The sequence below is a fragment of the Homo sapiens genome, chromosome 3 (assembly GCF_000001405.40).
Source record: "Homo sapiens chromosome 3, GRCh38.p14 Primary Assembly".
NCBI lineage: Eukaryota > Metazoa > Chordata > Mammalia > Primates > Hominidae > Homo > Homo sapiens.
In genome coordinates, this window is record NC_000003.12 from 165,280,242 (window position 1) to 165,301,877 (window position 21,636).

Genomic DNA, 21,636 nt, shown 5'->3' on the forward strand with positions numbered 1-21,636 from the left:
GTCTTGCCACTGTTTGTTACATTGTGCATTGGACTTTTAAAAATGTTATCTATCATACTGTTCATCTGTTTTATTTAGCATTATTAAGGTCTAGGGAGATTAAGCTGTTTACCACTCTTTTCTAAGCAGTTAGTAGAGGATGTGGAACTTCTGTCTCCTATCAAGGACTTTTTATTCCAAATCATGTTATCTCATCCTAGGTATAGGATATTTGGTAGGTGTATCATTTTTAGAGTGGTAGATTTATCTGGATTTCCAATTATTTTAGCATATCTTCTAAGAAAACTAAAAACATTTTTCTAACAATTATGCTGTGGCAAATATCTATGGTTCTCATTTGGCTGGATGTCTTAGGACTGGACTTACACTGACGAATATTTAATCATCTGTCAGCCTTCTGTTGGTGACTTTGTGCTAATCAATATCCAAGCATGCACTTACGCCCTCTGTATTCAGTTCATCTTCTAGCATGGGCCTGATTCTATTTAGATTGGCTTTGAATGTATTCTACTCTCCAATCCTGTTATTACTATTATATATTTCTTATTACTGTAGTTTTTGGAATTCTCCTTATCTTCCTCTCAGACTTCCAACTATAATGCTGATTCAAGATGCCTAAAAACATTCTGATTATATCCACAAAGAAAACTCTAGTTGCACAGAGATGTAAATCATCAATTAATATTTAAGTTTACAGTACTGACAAAAACTGTAGAGATCTTCCAATCCAGGGGAAAACAATCTAGGCATCACTGAGCCTCTATGAGGACCTACTGCAAGGTCAAAACTACTTTCTTAGTAATATTAAGATGATGTTATTTTCTTATTAACTTTCATTCTCATAGGAGTATACTCCCATTAGAAATTTTCCAGAGGTTACTGATTGATCCAGCTGCTTTTATTAACCCAATAAAGATGTTTGAAAAAATGTGTTTATGAATTTGTATTAAAATAAAAAAGTCAACCCATTTCATGTTAACATTAAAAATTGTTTATAAGAATGAAACAAAATTATTCTTTTTCATAACAAAAAAATTATTGAAAGTCATGACATTATTTTGCAATTTTGCAAATTTTTTATTGGTGTAAGCTAAACAACTCATGATAAGCTAACTAACCATGCTAAGCCTACTATTTCTAAATTGGGTATCAAAATAGTACTAACTAAACGTGAAATAAATGTTTATTATTATTAAGATTCAGGATATTTATATTTTGTTTTCTTTTAGAAAATCTGAATGCATTTTATACACAACAAAGTTTTGTAAGAATATTTTAGCTGATTCTTATTAGTATGCAATAGTCTGTATATACCCCAAATGAAATAAAAATACATAATTTCCAGAATCAATATTCCAGATACCATGTTAAGTTTTCTACTTTTTCCGTGCCTAGGGATGGCACTGCTTTATCTCGTGGCTTTATTGTTCTGGTAGTAAAACCAAACAATTATATTAGTTTAAACATTTATCAATATTTTGAAAATATTTTAAAGCTATGCCAAAAGTAATGATAAAATAATCAGGACCTTGTCCAAAAATGAGGGTATCAAATATACTTTGTTATACTTTATTTTTGCAACATTAATCAGGTGTTTCATAATGTCTTTATTTCATGACTCTCTATTTTCCAGGTTTGTTTGCAAAGTTACAGAAAATTATTTGTCTATCACCACACTAAAGAAAATAATATTTGTAGTACACAGGATCTGCTCAGTTACAGAACAACTCATAGATAAGCAAAGAATGAAATATTGGTTAGTTGAATAAAATATTTAAGATGATTCTCCACACTTTCTTTAAAGATTTCTCTTTTTCATGTTTTTTCAAGACTTCATAGTGTGATTACCTTGAATAATTGTATTTGAGTCTCTTGTCTCTTCTTTCTCTTTTTTTTTTTATTTTTTTATTTTGAGATGGAGTCTCACCCTGTTGCCCAGGCTGGAGTGCATTGGTGGGCTCTTGGCTCACTGCAAGCTCCGCCTCCCGGGTTCAAGTGATTCTCCTGCCTCAGCCTCCCGAGTAGCTAGGATTACAGGTGCCCGCCACCATGCCTGGCTAAATTTTTCTGGCTTTAGTAGAGACATGTTCACCATGTTGGCCAGGCTGGTCTCGAACTCCTGACCTTAGGTTATCTGCCTGCCTCAGCCTCCCAAAATGCTGGGATTACATGTGTAAGCCACCAGGCCTGGCCCTGAATCTCTTCTTAAAGAGAGAGGTGTATCCTGTGATATCAACCTACAGCAACTAGCTTCAGTTTCCAATGCTATTAGAAGATGGACTCTATGAAAAATCAGAAATCCTGAATATATAATTCAGGAAAGTTTATATTAACAAAGATAAGATGGAACATGTAAATATATACTATACTTTCAGGTGGGGAGAAGATTCTTGGCCTTGGATTTATCTTCTATAATATAGATATTCTCTACATATGAAAAAAGATTCAAGATTTAACTCAAAATAAATAAATACATTTTAAGCAATGACAATTAACAATTTTGTGGCTTCACTAACTTTTATATGCAAAGTTAATATAAATCCACCAATTGCTCTAGACCTCCTATCAAATATGTGGTATCATATTCTTCATGATAGTAGAGAGATAGATAGAGGTCGTGTATCATTATACTGTATTTCATTTGGGACAGTGACTGCTTTCAGTTGAGGGCACTTAAGAATAGTTCAAATCCAGACAGACAAATGGCAGTTTGGTTGGCAATGGAGTTAAATTTCTGATCCTTTCATTAATGTCCTAACAAATGTAAGGCATGGCAGCCTAAAGTATATATTATTCACAGTAATTTCAGGAAAACGAATGCGTGTGAATCAAATCTGTGACTAACTCATTCCATGAGGTGAATGTACAAAGAAAAAAGTAACTACTTTATTTTTGCAACATCTAATTTGTGAATTTTTCTTCCGAATCCCATTCTCTGAATAGGGTGCCTTGCAGGGGCAGGGGTTGAGAGTGACTATTCTAATGATTCTATTAGAAACAATTAAAATACGTAAACCTTACTTTAGTATTTGTTTATTTTTGGACTAAAAGAATAGTTTCTCAAATAAATTTTCTTCTCTTACACTACCATCATCTTATATGAGCACGGATATTGAGGTGTTTATCTCTTTCTAAATTTGAGGATAAAGGGACTTCTTGCTGGTTCTCCAGTGCGTAAAGACAGACACGTGCTGCTCTCCAGGGAAACATTTTTTTTTTTCTTCTGCTTACAACACACCCTTCAGGTAGATTCACGTGATCTTTTTTTGATATGCATATACAGGGACTCTCAGCCTGCTCAATGCTGACTCAACTTCTCTTCAGCTTTCTTGAGCTATCAGCTACCATGATCCATCCTGCAGTCTGAAAGAAGTCCCCTCACTACATCGTGATATATATCATGGTGGTTCCTCTGGTTTTCAATTTACTTCCAATCCATATTTGAAATTAAATCATCCTGGAAAGATAAATCCCAAAGCCTCCTTTCCCGTGATCACATTTTGCTCTTGACTATTTATAAGATATACTGCAAAGTTCCCTCCTGCCAGTGGTTGAAATAGGTAGTTGCGGGGGAGCCTTGCTGTTGATGCTCTTTTACAACAAAATATTTCTTCTTCTTTTTATAATTTTCCAGGATTCAAAAATGGGTGAAATTTTCCTTTACTTCAAAATTGTTGCCTCTTTCTTCCTGAGTCAAGTTAGGTCATAATGGTGAACACAGAAAAAGGTTTTTAAAGAATGACTCTGCAGGCCTGTCCTTGGTGTGTTACATCAGAACTAAAAAACAAATTCAGGTTAATTCTTTCTTAAGACAGTAGCCAGGCTTGCAATTTCCATATGTATGTCTGCATTCATGTTACAAAACAAAACAGAACAGAACAAAACAAAACAAAACAGTATAAAAGAAAGACAAAATAGAAATATCTCAAGATACTTAGCCCCTGGATGATGAGATAATAGATCATGGTAAGTATAGATTGTGTGTATATATTATGTATTTACTCATTATACACACACACACACACACACACACATGCATGCACACAGACACATGTATACCTCTTTTTTATTTTTCATACTTTGCATTAATTTTGTGGTCAGAAAAAATGACTTTAAAACATCTCTTTGTTTTTAGAAATACCACTAAGGTGATTTTTTCCAGAATCCCTCTAATGCCGATAACATAGAAAAGAAAATGGAACAAAGAAAAAATAAGATATGATGAGGATTATTCGGTCATAGTTGAGAAGAACATTTTTATGACAAAACAATAACTTACGGATGTAAGTTATGAACATTACTGTGTATGACATTTTTTAAAAATGTGTTATTTTTTTCTCTCCACAACATGGTAATGCCTGATTGAAGCACTATAGCAGTTAGCTGACCTTATATAACAGTGGGATTGTTTATATGAACAAGACATAAGAAACTTATTTAAGTGGAGCAAAAAAAGATAAACTTTAATCAGAACACAAGAGATTTTTTTTCAGCATCTTTCTAAAATCCTTTTATAATCTCTAAATAAAGGGAATGGACCAATGATCTCTCAGGCCCTTTCCTAAAATGTTATGTGATAGCATAAAACCCGACTTCCTAATAAAGGATAATGCTGCATTGAATCAGGCCAAAGCGATTTACTGATACAAAAATATGAGAAACCCCTATTAATCAGCAGAGTAAGGGAGTTTATGACTGGCTTATGGCTTATTTTCTTTTTTTCAGAATAACAAAAACAAAGTAGAATTGAATCTGAGTTAAAATAATGATGTTAAAATAATATTGTCAACATGAAACCAAAGCTTTCAGTATTTCAATTTTAACGTAAGATTAAATTGCACATTTGGATAACATGTGTTTGCTTATATTTATGAAATTAGGTTTTAAATATAATCAATGCTAGGAGCAAATTTTTTCATTGTTTTATTTTTCCATATCTCATAGCATTCATTAGGGTGAACTAGGTGGAGCTTGATAGCTCTAGTTTATTGCAATGACACTTTATTTATCAGGAAGCACATTTTCTGGCTGACTCAAATGTCTACAACCCTGCCATAAACCCCAAATATGCGGGAAATTGTCCTTAAACCATTTTATATCCTAGTTGCATACACACACACATTGTGTTGATGAGTAAACTTATATACAGTATATGTAATATAAATGTTAATATGTTATATAGTATTAGATATAACATTTGTTTATATTTATATGTATGAAACTTAATGCTCATTTGTTTGGAAGAAATGATCTAAAATCCATAATTCACTCAAAGTTGTTAGTCCTCAGTAAAGGATAGATGTGGAAAAAAAAAGAAAAAGTGGGTTGGGTAAGATATTTTACAAGCAAAAAATAAAAGGAGATGACAGGCTGATAATAAGAAAGGGGTGGATGACTATAAAAAAACAAACACAAAAGCAAAAAGCTTATTGACTTGAGGGCACTGAAATATACAAGAAAATCATTCTTATATACCTACCTTAATGCCAAATGAGGAATTGTTGCATTAAACCTTAGTATAATAATTGAGGACCATAATGATGCTGATTAAGAAACCATTGAAGTTTATAATATTTTTAAAGGTTCTCTCAGATATTATTAAATAATCTCACCTTTAGCTCGTAGATGGATATTTGTCAATTGTCTGAAAGATACACTTCTGTTGAACGAGCTCATGATTTTGTAACAAATTATAAATAATGCTGTATTATAGTGCTTTTGAAGTGCATTCCCATCAATACAGAGGCAGAATTATCTATTAGGTTCCATAGAGTCAGCTGAAGTTGGTTTAAAGGTTTTTTTTATATTTAAAATTATTTGTTATTGTTTATTTTTAGTAAGAGAGAAGATTTTAAAATTCTGAGAATATCTCTTTGGATGGTAGTTGTTTTGTAATCTAAAAGATCATTTAAAAATCCTGCAATTTGTAACCCCTTGTTGGATCATAGCTACTGTAAGTTTGTAATTCAAAAGTGATAGCTATAAGAGAATCAGGAAAAGTATATTACAAAAACTTTGCTGTAATTATTATACACTTTTGCATATATTCTAAAAAAAGAAAAAACGCAAATATTTAAATAAGTAAAGGATTCTGTTTAATTATTTTTCCCTTTTATATGGAGAACTGTTAGGAACAGACTTAGGTGCTGAGAAGGGGCAGGAACACTTTTATAAGAAGTTGTATGAAGCTGATTGGTAGATCCAGACAGCTTTTTGTTGAGTGACGCAAAAATTTAGATCAAGTATGGACAGCTGTAAATAGTAGCTAGAGGACATTTGGCAGCCAAGGAATGGTGCTAAACATTGGCTATGGAACCAATAGTATTGAGTAATTAGCAATAACAGAGAAGGTAAATGAGAAAACTATCAGAAATTTAGGGGCAATTCATGGGATATTTGGAAAATGTGCTGAATATGTATAAAGGAACTGGAATGAAATAAAAAGTTTCTTCTGAGACCTATACTTCTGAGTGCCTAGCAGAACATATTTGAATAAAAATATCATGCAATTTAAGTTTTAAAAACTTTACTTTGCTCACAATGACTTTTTGCAATACCTGAAAATATGATTCCAATATGGAATATAATAATGTAATCTTTCTTGGTATTATTAACAAAATATACTAATGATGCCTTCAAATATTAGTTCCAGGGTATTAATTCAGTAAGGCAGTTTGCCAGGGCATAATTAAAAAGTCAAATTCTAATTGTTGCAATAGGGACCCTCTTAATAGTGCCATAATTAGAATCACCATTTTCTTATAATCTGGCAAATTCTGTCATTCATTAATAAAAATAGTATTTTAATTTAATTATACAAATGACTTTTTTTCATAGTTACATTCCTTCATATAGAGTAATGATTCTCTTCATTTTAAAAAACATATGTAAGTTTCTGTTTTTTCAACTTAAAATCCCAAACCTAGACTTTATGCACACTATTGTACATTCACAATAGCAGAAAATTGGCAATTGTTGGGCTAGTTCAATGTTTCCTTCCAATTTATCCATTACCTAACAATAATGCTATTGCATCGTCCTTTTGTTTCATCTATTTCTAATTATTTGAATAACTAGACTGTAAACTCCATGACTATGTTTTAAAATTAGCTAGGACTATGTTTTAAAATTAATCATATAGCAGAGAACTTGGCATGTAGTAGATATTCATTATATACTTATCTAGTGATTAAAAGAATGAATGAATGAGTGGGTTTTCCCTTCTTTTCCCAATTCATTTGGCTGAAACTTGAGTACTCTGCCTAATTCTATTCACTGCCATTCCTGACTGGTTCCTGAAAGCTAATGCTGACTGAAACAACATATCCCAGAATAATGACTTCTCATTTCACCATAATGATCTATTTTCCTGAGTAATAATTCTAGAACCCTTCACTTGTACAGTTAAAATAGTTGGTTTGACTCTTCAAATACTAAGACCTATAGTTAAATTTCTTCCCCATAGCTGAGTTAGAGTATGTAGTTTAACAAATTTAAGCTGTTTTACAAATATTGATTGGTTGATTAGATTTTTCAGAGTTTGGTACTGTTTGTCCTCCGTGCCTTGTGGGTAGTGATCATGTTTGGATTAAGTAATCTTATGCAACATTTTAAACAACTTCTTGCATGAGTTTGATAAATTGATCCACATGTATTTATATTGATTCATTTAAAATTAATTGTAATTATTTCTCTCCTTCAAATAATGAACTTTTAAGGTTTGTAGTCATCTTTGTATCAGATAAATATAGTCCTCAGTATATATTACACATAACTATTATTTTAAAAATTTTAGTTGTTCATTCATTCGTTTATATATATATTTATTCATTTATAAATATTTACAAAACAGCCAGTATATAAAAGATTCCACATAAGGTAGAATGGTAAAAACAGTAATAGCTACAACAGTATGAACTCTGACTAGATGATTTTACAGCTTAGTAGAGGATGTAAATAATATAATCTAGTATAATACTGAATATAAAAGTCATAAAAAATGTGAATGCCACAAATTTCAGAATTCAAGGATCTGGTCTTATTCATTTGTCTCCTTATTTCCTAGCATAAAGTCTAATTCTTTTATTAAAGAATTAGTTTGTATTGTTTTTATTTATTTGTGTTGTTTTTCAGTTATATTTTTAAAAACCATATGTTACATAACTTACCAAATAAGACACAATTATTCAACCTTTTAAAGATGGAAAAAAAGGCTTACCCTTTCTATTGCTGATGAAGCCTTTCTGGACTCACCTATTAACCATTACACCAATTAAAGCTCATATTATATTCTTACACTGCACATTTCTTCTATGCATAAATGAAAATAAATGTGCTCTAGGGTTTACAATCTAGGCATGTATGCTGAGGTTGATCATCAACAGCTCAGTATTGTTGTAGTCTTGTCATTAATATATGGATAGTTTCTGCTTTAGTGGTCACGGTCTTTTATTCCTGCTTTGGCCTTTTTTAAAAAGTCACATAAGATTTATTTTCCTAAAGTTTTAAATATCTATTTATACATCTTTATTTTTCTTCTCACCTGGTAGAGATTTTGAAAACATCACCACTCTTTCACCTTTTGGCTTCTGAATCAGAAACTTTTCTTTTCTCTTTGCAACAAACTCATGACTTTTATGTTGAAATCCTCACAATTTTCCCCAAAAGATACTTTAACCCCCAATGTTGATGTTAGAGTAAATGAGGCTATTTACATGAAACTAGCAATACAGAGGTCATAACAAATGCATGAAACCCTTCTAGCATTTTTTAAAATGGGAAACTGGTTTCAAATATCTAGGTCCTTGTGATCTCTGGTGCCAGTTTCAAGCAAACAAGCAATGTTGGTATAAAGGGACTTACTATAAAGAAAGTACCAAAAAATTTCCTGTAAATACATCTAAACCTCTGTCATCTGAAACATAGAAAACCATAAAAGCATTCTATGGTCTAAATCAACAAGTATTACAAATAAAATCCTCATATATTCAAAGTATAATAGTAATAATTATAAGAAATAAGGTGTATTTACTGTTGTCCTAAATATTACCACAATTCTTTTTTTCCTCTGGAAAGGATATTTATTAAAACACATATTTTATAAAAATATAGTCATTTCTTTTTTCCTTTTGTTTTTAACTGACATTGATTCTATTTTCCATTAATTAATTTTTAAAAAAACTTTTACTTTAGATTCAGGGGGGTACATGTGCATGTTTTTTACCTGGGTATATTATGTGATGTCAAGTTTTGGGTACAAATGGTCCTGTCACCCAGGTAGTGAGCATAGTATCCAACAGTTAGTTTTTCAGCCCCTGCATTCCTCCAACAAATTTACTAAGACTAACAGAGAAACAAGGTTTTTAAAAGGGTTAATGGATGAAATAGAATAACTTCTCATGTTTTTAAGATGTTAGAGTCCTATTTGTAAAACAAGAAAGCTGCTACCTCCCCACTCTAGTAGTCACCAGTGTCTATTATTGGCATGTTTATGTTCATGAATATCCAGTGTATAGCTCCCACTTGTAAGTAAGAACATGAGGTATTTTTCTTTCTGTTTTCATATTAATTCGCTTAGTAATGGCCTCCAGTGGTATCCATGTTGCTGCAAAGGACATGATTTCATTCATTTTTATGGCTCTGTAGTATTCCATGGTATATATGTGCCATATTTTCTTTATCCAGTCCACAATTGATGGAAACGAAGTTGATTGCATGTCTTTGCTATTGTGAATAGTGCTGCGATGAATATAGATGTGCATGTGTTTTTATAATAGAACAATTTATATTCCTTTGGGTATAAACCCAGTAATGAGAATGCCGGATCAAATGGTATTTCTGTCTTTAAGTCTTTGAGAGATCGCCACAGTCTTCCACAATGACCGAACTGATTTACATTCCCACCAACAGTGTAAAAGCAGTCCTTTTTCTCTACAATCTCACAGCCATCTCTTGTTTTTTTGACTTTTTAATAATAGTCAAAAAATAGTCTGATTGGTGTGAGATAATATATCATTGTGGTCTTGATTTGCATTTCTCTAATGATCAGTGGTGATGACCATTTTTTCATTTGTTGGCTGTTGATATGTTGCCTTTTGAGAAGTGTCTGTTCATGTCTTTTACTTATTTTTAAATGGGGCCATTTGTTTTAAGCTTGTTCAATTGTTTAAGTTACTTATAGATTCTGAATATTATACATTTGTTGGATACATAGTTTACAAATATTTTCTCACCTTCTGTGTGTTGTCTGTTTGTTGATAGTTTCTGTTTCTGTGCAGAAGATCTTTAGTTTAATTAGGTCCCACTGGCCAATTTTTATTTTTCTTGCAATTCCTTTTGACAGCTTAACCATAAATTCTCTCCCAAGCTCAATGTCCAGAATGATGTTTTCTGGATTTTCTTCTAGGATTCTTATGGTTTGAGATCTTACATTTAACTCTTTAACCCATCTTGGGTTAATTTTCATGTAGGGTGAAAGGTAGGAGTCCAGTTTCATTCTTCTGCACATGGCTAGCCAGTTATCTCAGCCCCATTAATTAAATATGGATTCTTTTTCCCATTGCTTATTTTTGTCAACTTTGTTGTATATTAGAAGGCTATAGATTTGTGGCATTATTTCTGGTTCTCTTGTTCTCGATTCTGTTCTATTGGTTTATACATCTGTTTTTGTACCAGTACCATGCTGTTTTGTTTATTGTAGGCTTATAGTATAGTTTGAAGTCAGCTAACATGATGCCCCTGGCTTTGTTCTTTTTACTTAGGATTGCTTTGGCTGTGTGGACCCTCTTTGGGTTCCATAGGAATTTTAGAATCGTTTTTTCAATTCTGTGAAAAATGACAGTGGTAGTTTGGTAGGAATAGTGTTGAATCTGGAGATTGCTTTAGGCAATGTGGCCATTTTAATGACATTTATTCTTCAGATCCATGAGCATGGAATGTTTTCAATTTTTGTGTGTGTTATTTATGGTTTATTTTAGCAGTGTTTTGTAGATCTCCTCGTAGATATTTTTAACCTCCTTGGTTAGATGTAGTCCCAGTATTTTTGTGGCTATTGTAAATGGGATTGCATTCTTAATTTAGCCCTCAGCTTGAATGTTATTGGCATATAGAAATACTACTGATTATTGTACATTGATTATCAGTTCCAGGAACTTTTTGGCAGAATTTTAGGGTTTTCTAGGTTTAGAATTATATCAGCCATGGAGAGAGACAGTTTGATTTCTTTTCCTATTTGGATGCCTTTTATTTATTCCTCCTGCCTGATTGCTCTGGCTAGTAATTTCATTACTATATTGGTTACAAGTGGTGAGAGAGGGCATCCTTGTCTTGTTCTAGTTCTCAAGAAGAATGCTTTCAATTTTTACTGTTCAGTATAAGGATGGTCATTTCTGTATTTAGTTTTTCATGTTTTGTTTTCATTCTATATGTGTTTTTTTTTTATTTCTTTTCTCAGTAAGTCACTAAAATCCAGCAGGAACAGATTCACTAAAATTAACAGAGAAATGAAGTTAGATTTAAAAAGTTATCAGTGAATGAAACCGAATATTTTTAAAAAATATTTTTAGGATGTTAGAGTCATATTTGTAAGATAAGAAAGCTGCTATAAAAAAGCAATCAGAACATTAAAAAGTTACAAATTAAAAGTGTAGTTACTACAATAAAACATACACCTAATGTAAGAGATAGTTAAGGAAACAAAAACAGCAGATTAAAAAAATAGTCATCTAGAAAAAAGAGTGTACCCCACATCATTTTTTTTATTTTTGTGGCAACTACGATAAGTTAACTAAAAATTTTCCTAAAATTAGAATTCATGTGACATACTCTTCAAAGGCAATAGATATGTAAAATACTTAGAAAAATATTAAACCATTTAAGTATTTTTTAACTTCCAAAGTAAGCTTGAATTAAAGAGAAAACAAAGCTAAAGTTACAGAATATTTAAAATAAAAATATTTTAAGAATGCAACTAATCAAAACATATAAAGTAAGGTCTGAGCAGGGTTCCAGAGAAAACTTTTTTCAATATTTTCATTATAGAAGAAGAGACTAAAATATGTGAATCAAGCATTCAACAACTACAACAACAGAAAGAGAAAGAGAAGAGTGAATGAAATTAAAGAAAATTGTTGGATTCGTATGAAGAAATCAACAACTTTCTTCTGTTTAATGGAAAAAAAAATTAAGGTTTAAAAAAAGAATATTCCCATAGCAATAAAAACTGTAGAATTATTAAATTTTATCCAAATATACAAGACTTTTATAAAGAAAATTATAGTTTGTTACTTTCAGTCAAATTAAAGACCAGAATCAATAGATATGAGTATCTGAATGAAAAGAGTCAATAATGTGAAGTGTTGTAGTGTAAAGTGGTGTAGTCAATACTGTGAAGTGGTATAGTGAGCACTATGATGTATCATCCAGATTCTTCTTCAATGAAAGTGTCATTGCCACAGCTGCCACAAATGCTATGGAAAGACCACCTTAAGCTGTCACCCCCTTTAGAAGTTGCCATAGGTGAAAAAAAGCCTCTTTGCCCAAAACTATGTCCTTTTCCTAGTCCCTTACACTCAGTGACCAACTGATGAAGTAACTTAATCTTTTCAGCCCATCTCAGGACAAAACTGACTTGACATTCCAAGTCCAGAGTTTTCAATCTGTTGGCTGAGGCTGTCACTAGATCTGCAGTACCTCATCTTCCTCCTCTGACCACTAAAGCTTTCATTTAGCTTCTTTTGCACAAAGATCTTCCTAATAAACATTGTGCACGCTGTCTCTGTGTCCAAGTCTCTTTCCCAGATAACCTAGTCCCTGATGGTTATCACTTCCTGTGAGGAATTTAACTTCTTCATTTTCATCAGTGAGTCAAAGAAACTGAAGAAATCAAATTCCAAAAGGAATTGGTATGGGAGTGGGTTTACATGCTACATTTAAAGTTTGTTTATTTGGAAGATTTATATGTTAAACTTTTGAAGAAAAAAAGTATTGGGGTGGAGAAGAGTAACACTTTAAAACCAAACATAAAAAATTCTTGAAAATTACAGTAGCTGAAACAGATACCAACACTGTAGATAGACAAATAGGTAAATGAAAGAATCCAAAATCTTATCTATTGTATTGCTGAATATAACATATGATGATTTATGACTTGAAAAGAAAAAGATGGACTATTTAATAAAGGTGTTGGGGAAAATATCTATACATATGGGGAAAAAAAGCTTTCTGGAAATTTTCTCAAATCGTACCCCAAATGAATTGCTAGATGGATTCAAAGACATAACAATATTCAGCTTGGCAACATAGTGAGATCTTGTCTCTATGCAAAAATTTGATAAATAAAAAAGTTAGATAGTTGTGGTGGTACCCATCTCTAGTTATATCTACTCAGATGTCAGGCAGGAAGATTGCCTAATTCCAGATGCTGGTGGTTAGAGTGTGCTATGATCATGCCGCTACATGCACCAGCCTGGGTGATAGAGCAAGACAGAAAGAAGGAAGAAAGGAGGGAGAGAGGGAGAGAAGGAGGGAGAAGGGAAGGGAAGAGAGAAAGAAAGAAAGAGAAAGAAGGAAGAAAAAGAAAGAAAGAAAGAAGGAGAGAGAGAAAGAAAAAGAAAGAAAGGAAAGAAAGAGGGGGGAGGGAGGGAGGAGAGAGGGAGGGAGGGGGGAGGAAGGGAAGAGAAGGGAAGGGAAGGAAGGGGAAGGGAAGGGAATGGAAGGGAATGGAAGGGAAGGGAAGGAAAGGGAAGGCAGGGGAGGGGAAGGAAGGGGAGGGGAGGGAAGGGAGAGGAGAAAGAAAGAGAGAGAGAGAAGGAACGAGAAAGAAAGAAAGAAAAGGAAGGAAGGAGAGAGGGAGAGAGGGAGGGAGGGAGAGGGAAAGAAGGAAGGAAGGAAGGAAACTAAAAAAGATGTAGGAATTTAAAGCAACTATAAAATATGGAAGAATTTTTACAAATAATATTATGGAGAAATCTTTCCAAAAAATAAGATAGCAGTGTTAGAACTCTAAAAGATAAAAATTTAAATTTAAGTTTAATCAAATTTAAGACTTATGATTGCCAAAGAAAACCATAACTTCCACAAGCATGAAGAGATAAAGCACAGAAATTAGAAAATGTTTTTAAATCTTATAATAGATAAGTGATTTGCTTCCTTAAAATACAAAGCCCTTCAACAAATCAGTCTACCAACATTATTCATTTTTTCTTGTCTGTCATAGGAAATTCATAGCATTTACAACTTTAATTGTGAATTTAAATCTCTATTAAATCCACAATAAATGTGTATAATTTCTGTGCATCTTTCCATCTGCACTCCAGTTGGTATTTATTTCTTAGTGGACCTGGGTACTCCATACAAAAATCTGAAATATAACCCGCATGTTTAGCCAGTGAATAATGGGCCATAAAGTTATTTTACCCAAGTCCAAATTTACTGATTTATCCAGGAGCTTCTTGAAGATATTACGCTAGGAACCAGGATTACTTTCCACAAGGCCTTCTAGATACTTATTCTCAAGCCAGTATTTTGACATTCATCTGACAGTTTCTGAAGGCTGCTTTTGGGAAAATTTGTGCCTCCAGCACAGCTGGATGCTAGTATATCGGTTTCGGTAACCCTTATCTAGGTAGCAATAGCCTTATAGATATAGAAATTGAGGAGTCAGCCATTGAAGGATTTTTAAGGAAATACTAAGTGAGCTTCTGTTTGCTTTTTAGGAAGGCTAACCAGCAGTCCCTGAAACACACAGGAAAAGCTACACAATTTTTGAGATCACATCTTTATTTACATTACTGCACTCTTTGTCTTTCTGTTTTACCTGAAACTCTGGAATCAACTGCATTTCCAGAATATATTCTTTATTAACAATTCTTTCTTATTTTTAATTTTTGTGGGTGTATATATGTATGGGATACATGAGATGTTTTGATACAGTCTTGCAATATGAAATAAGCACATCATGGAGAATGGGGTATCCATCCCCTCAAGCATTTATTCTTTGAGTTACAAACAATCCAATTGCACTCTTTTATTTTAAAATGTATAAGTAAGTTATTATTGACTACAGAATATATTCTCATAAAGCATATACCTATGACACACAGTCCACTATTCCGTATTTTAGCACAGTCTTGCCTAAAAGAGCAGGAATCTAGGCACTTGATGTTAATGTTGCTGACCTGACACTCATTTATTGCCCTTTGGCATACCCCCAGGCCCAATTTGAAGCCTGTGATTAATATATAAACAGCTTCTGTTGCTGTTGACATTGAATTTTTTCTTGGCCTCCTTATCTAGCCATTTGCTTTAAGCAACACATTCTTGTTACAACCTGTTAGTCCCATTATTTTTCTTAGTATAAATTATTAATGTGCTGTTAGACTAAAGTACTGTATCTGAACACTGATTATGCAGGACTGACACCATACTAAAACCTGTGAAAGAATAATAACTAATATTTGTTGAATGCCAACTGCCATATGACACTGTACTAAGACCTTTGTATTTACCTATATTATTACATTTAATCTTCATAAAACCTATACAATGCGTATTAATAGCTTTGTTTACAGATCATGAAACTAAGGACAGAATTCAAATGACTTAGGCAAAGTTACAAAGCTTTGAATGTGAGAGTTTGAAATTTAAATCAAGGCCTCTCTGATAGAAAGTATCAGAGCATCATCTCCTTAAACCATTAGTGCTACCTCCTTTATTATCGCAGCTAGAATCAAAATCTATCCCGTGGCCAACATCTTTCTGAAGGAAACATAGGTATTTATCTTTCCTTCAATTATATCTATCTTTCCTTCAGTGAAGTTCAGATAGTCACACTTCTAGACACTCTGTGACTTATTCTAGCTCCCCGTATTTTGTTCTTAGAGGTTGTAAGACTCTGGGTTCATAACAAACTAATCACTCATCATAAAATGGTTTAGAATTTATTTCTTTATAGAAAGTTACTCTACAATATCCTTTTTATTCTTGATTATAAAATATTTATGTCATATGTCAAAAATATCACAATTCTTAAGTAAAAAGTTATATTTCTTGTTGTTTAATTAAATCAAGATATGGGGCATTAATAACCATTTTTAAACATTTTTTAAATTATTTATTTATTTTCCTTCTTTCTTCATTTCTTGCCGCTTCATTGCCACAGAAGCTAAATCCATTAACAAAGACTTAATCTTATTTCAGCCCTTTCTATTTTTTCTTTTCCCAATATTTTGACGAAGTAGGCTCAGAGAATTTTCAGTCCAACTCTTTTCTTTCCTGTCTTTTGAGTGTATGCTAAGAACATGTATTCGTTACCTTTCTTAGGATCTGTTGTTTCATTTTTCATGAATTATTCTTTTGAAATATTTATAAAACACATCTTAGTACATTCAGTTTAAGTTCTGGCTTTCTAATTTTCACTTTGGTAATTGTTTGTATAGAGTTATCCACTTAGATACTTAAAGGACTTCAGAGTAGTGGGAAACTATGTAAATTGAAAAAGGAAGTGTTTAACTGTAATTTTTACACTCCATTGTTCTTAATCTTAGTAGAAGAAAATAGAACATTGATTTACTTCAGAAAAACTTGTAAGAACAGGAGGATAAACAGTGGTATTACTTTTAATAAGCAATACATATAAAAAAGAAGATGTTGACTGTTTTTTTCAGTGAATTAATAAATTTCTGTATATAAAAAAGTTATCAATATGAATGGACTCAGTAATATTGTATTTTCTTTATTCTTGTAGATTGTTCTTCCTCTTTGATTCTTGACAGTAATCACATGCATCTCTTTGCATAATGCTACAAAAAGTTATTCTTATAACCACATCTTAAAATCAACTCAGTACTTTTGAAAAATACTTTTACTTAACTTAGTTTTACTTTGAAATTTGATTTTATTTTTAACTTTGCTAAAACTGCAGTACGTTTAAATAAGGAGACTGTCTAATTTTGGATACATTAAGTTACTCTCTCACAACAATGAATTCATTACTTCTTTTTAAGTAAGGTGGAAGCAATGTTTTATGCTATATTTTCTTGTTCAATCTGCTCTCAAATTATATATTTGCTGGTGATGTTGCACTTAAGTCAGTGTATTAGTCAAAGTTTTCCAGAATAGGAGAGAGAGAGAGAGATTTTGAGAATTGTCTCGTGTGATTATGAAGATTGAGAAGTTCCATGATATGCTGTCTGCAAGCTGGAAAATCAGGAATGCTGGGGTGCAATTCAGTCTCAAATGCAAGTCTAAAAGCCTGATAACCAGAGGGGAACTGATGGTCTAAATTCTGGTCTGAGTCAAAGGCATGAAAGCATAAGGGTGCATAAGAAATGGTGTAAGTCCTTGCCTGAATCCAAAGACCCATAAACCAGGAGCAATAATGTTCAAGGGCAGGTGAAGATGGATAGCTCAATGCAAACAGTAAGCGAATTTGACCTTCTTCTACCTTTTTTTCTGTTTGGACCCTCAACAGATTGGATGATGTCTACCAATGTTGGTGAAAGCAATCTTTACTCTGTCTACTGATTCAAATGCTAATCTCTTCCAGAAACACACTTAAAAATACTCTCAGAAGTAATGTTTTACCAGCTATCTGGGCATCCTTTAGCTCAGTCAAGTTGATGCATAAAATTAACCATCACAGTGAGTGTTTTTATTTTTTCTTTGTTTTCCTTTTTTAACCATCACAACAACAGCAAAAGAAACTGTTAACCCTTTTCCCAGTTAGAAACAAAATGCGCAGCTCACTGCCAGTGCTCATTTAATTTTACATAAACATGCTCTTTGAGGCTGAAGCAAATCTGACTGGTTTTATTTTATTTTATTTTATTTTTGAGTCGGAGTCTTGCTCTGTCGCCCAGGCTGGAGTGCAGTGGGGAGATCTCAGCTCACTGCAAGCTCTGCCTCCAGGTTCACGCCATTCTTCTGCCTCAGCCTCCCGAGTAGCTGGGACTACAGGCACCTGCCACCATGCCCAGCTAATTTTTTATGTATTTTTAGTAGAGATGGGGTTTCACCATGTTAGCCAGGATGGTCTCGATCTCCTGACCTCGTGATCTGCCCGCCTCGGCCTCCCAAAGTGCTGGGATTACAGGCGTGAGCCACCGCGCTTGGCCCCCTACTGGTTTTCAATTTGAAAATAAAATATACAAACTGTTCTTGGAGTTACTTCTAAACAAAGCTAACATCAGAATCATCTAAATCATCACAACTGTCTACTTTGGAAAAATCAGATTCATCAAGTGAATCTTCAGCCAGCAACTGCTACAGAATGATGTTAACATCATGCATAGGAATGCTACATGTTCTAGGATATGACGTTTACAGCAATTGAGGATTATTGTATTTTGGAAATGTAAATCCCACTACTAAAACCAGAATGCTATAAATAGAATGATGTCTTTTGTTTCCAAAGTCGATATACTAGAAAGATGCAAAAATAATAATAAAAGTGAGATATTTTTGTGACAAAGTTATCTTGGGGTAAATGCTGCAGCTGCAAGCACCACTAGTGAGTATTCTTGGGGCAAATGGAAAAGGGGTTAGGCAAGTGTAATTGTTCCATTTCTATAAATGTACTGCATCAAAAAGGAGGAATTAGTCTGATTAGTATAAATATTAGAGGACCTACTTAGTATTTGAGAACAATTGGTGTCAGTGTTCCCAATTTTCAGAATTAAATGATCAATAAGAATTCAATAAATATTTTTAGAATGAATGAATAAGATTAGTTTCTTCTGAATGAGCTTAATATCATGTGGGAAATGAAGTGTCTGACAGGCAGAGAGTAGATTCACCTGAGATGTTGCTGCCTGCCTCCCTCAACCCACTGTTCTCTGCTGGAATGTGATCTAATTGATCTTTCCCTTTCACTTTACAGCCATTTTCACAAGTTGTAATAATTTTATTTATTGGTTTGTTTATTTTGTCTCTGCTACCCCTATTGTAAAGTAATATCCAAGTGAGTTATGGGCCATGTCTATCTTGTTCAAAATTTCAGCTTGGTGAATGTAAAGATGAGGCGCTCAGTTAAAATGTGTTGATAGGATAAATTAGCTTCTGCACGGGTTCTTTTGCATCTCACCAGAAAAAGGAAAGTGATTACATAATTTTGTTTTCTAGTCTGATAGCATCTGTCTGGTCTGGTCTGTGAATCAAACTTGCCATGAACTCACACTGGCCATCAACTTCACAGGGTGTTTGCCATGACAATTACCCTCAAAAAACCTGAATATTTATATACTAGGTCAATTACTTCACTAAATATGTATCATTACTAACAGCTGTGAGCCTGGTACTGCTGAAAACTAGTTGCCTATAAACCATTTGGCACTCAGATTTTTTCATGTGGGAAAATTTGCATACAAATCTGGATTTCTGCTGCCTTTTCTCCCTGGGAACTTAAGGACCCCTAACTTAAGTTAGGAACTAAATTAAGGAACCCTAACTTTTTCATCCTTATTGAAATTTATACTGGAAAGCAATGTGATAAAGGGACTCAGTCTAATACTCATGTGAATGAAGGAAGAGTATCTTCTACAGATGTCCAAGGTAATATAGCTGAGAAAAAATATCCCATGGTTAACTGGGGTTTTTCTGAAGATGGGAGATTGAAGTTGTCGTCTATTAGAGCTGCTGGTTCTGTAGCATACCCAGTGGAAAATGCAGAAATTAGAAGAATGTTTGTAGGAGAGTATAGACAGATGGCAATTTTATATTGTCTAAATAATAGTGCTTTATAAACATGTAGCTCATACCAGGTGGATCTTGAAAGATTTTTGGCCACAGGAACACACACACAAAAGCCGACAATGTGCTCACCGTGTTCTTGACTGAGCTGTAACCCGGAGACAGTCATTTGCGCCTGGCTTCTCTCTACCTGCAGTGCCACTGCCAGAGTTAAACTCATAATCTGTCACTGCAGCTTTTCTAACTGCTTACTCTTTGGTGTACCTAGTCTTCCTGTTTGTAGTTAGCTCCCCTTATTAGTCTTCTTCTCTATTGCTTTTTAAAATGGTAATTGACACTCCACATTAGCTTACCTTTACCTTCAAGAGCAATCAGAATTCATTAGCCTGACAAATAGGCCTCTACCCAGTGTGTCTGATTTTTATTTCTCTCCAGTTAATTGTATTGTGTCTTACCCTTTGTTGTGTCTCCTATAAATGTCAATTATTAACACATTTTTCAGCAATTTGCAAACTCAATACTTTTTTTCTTAGACTTTGCCTGTTGCCATGCTATTTTTTTTTTCTTTTCAGAGTTGCTTCCCCCTTCTTTACTCCGAAAAATCAACTTTTGAGCTTTTTCTTAAATCCTATATCTCCTGGGAGGCTTTTTCTAACTCATACACAAAGATAGATATTCTGAAGCCTTAAATTTGTACCTTGGTCACAGTAAGTATCATCCATATTGTAATTCATTTGCTTATATGCCAATCTTCCTCCACTAGTCTGAGAAATGATTGATAAATTTTCACTGGCAACTACGTTATCCTTGTAAACCTGGTGTATTTGTTGATTCTCATCAAGCTTTTGTTAAATGAATAATTATCTTGAGAAGCCAATCCCTCATAAAATCCGGTAGTAAAATTTCCTAGACATCTTGGAAGAACACTTTTGGAAACAATGGTCTAGAGTATTCAAACCAAATTACATAATAAATTGTTAAAACAAAAATCTTACAGCAAGCATAGGGAGCATACAATCAAAGAAATAGGAATGCGGAAAAGGTTTGAAATAATTACCTACTGGTTTTGGAGTGTTATACCTTTTTTTTTGGTAAAAACACTGACTGACTAAGAATTTAGTGAATGCCCCAGTAGAGAGATATTAGCTCACCAATGCTTTAGTTTCCACAGAAATAACTGCTGCTGATATAGTCTTCCATAGTTGGCATCTGGGGGTTTGGGGGAATAAAAAGGGAATGGTTAATGGGTACAATTTACAACTAGATGGAAGGAATAAGACCTAGTTTTTGGTAGCACAATAGAACCACTACAGTCAACAATAATTTATTGTGTATTTCAAAATAACAAAAAGAATATAGTTGGAATGCCTTTAACACAAAGAAATTATAAATGTTTGAGATGTAGGATATCACAATTACCCAGATTGATCATTACACATTGTATGCTTGTATCAAAATACCACATATACTTCATACATTTTTACAACTATTATATATCCATACTTAAAAAATATAAAATCTAAGTTCATGGACCGAGCATGGTAGCTCACGCCTGTAATCCCAGCACTTTGGGAGTCAGAGGTGAGCGGATTACTTGATGTCAGTAGTTCGAGATAAGCCTGGTCAACATGGTGAGACCCCATCTCTACTAAAAATACAAAAATTAGCCAAGCATGATGGCACGGGATTGTAGTCCCAGCTACTCAGGAGGCTAAGGCAGAAGAATTGCTTGAATGCAGGAGAATTGCTTGAACCCAGGAGGCAGAGGTTGCAGTGAGCCGAGATCGCACCACTGTACTCCAGCCTGGGCAACAGAGTGAGACTCTATCTCAAAAAAAAAAAAAAGCCGGGCGCGGTGGCTCACGCCTGTAATCCCAGCACTTTGGGAGGCCGAGGCGGGCGGATCACGAGGTCAGGAGATCGAGACCATCCCGGCCAAAACGGTGAAAC

General features: G+C 33.6%; 1 long non-coding RNA gene across 5 annotated transcripts in view; it reads left to right on the forward strand.

Moving 5' to 3' along the window:
• LINC01322 (long intergenic non-protein coding RNA 1322) overlaps positions 1-21,636 on the forward strand; it is a 332,490-nt gene that overhangs the window by 73,294 nt on the left and 237,560 nt on the right. Inside the window, exon 2 of one of the 5 annotated variants that reach the window (NR_174100.1) lies at positions 20,259-20,393. The exons of the other annotated variants lie outside the window; for them this stretch is intronic. This is a non-coding gene — a long non-coding RNA (long intergenic non-protein coding RNA 1322). The remainder of the gene's footprint in view (positions 1-20,258; positions 20,394-21,636) is intronic. 5 annotated transcript variants of the gene reach the window in all.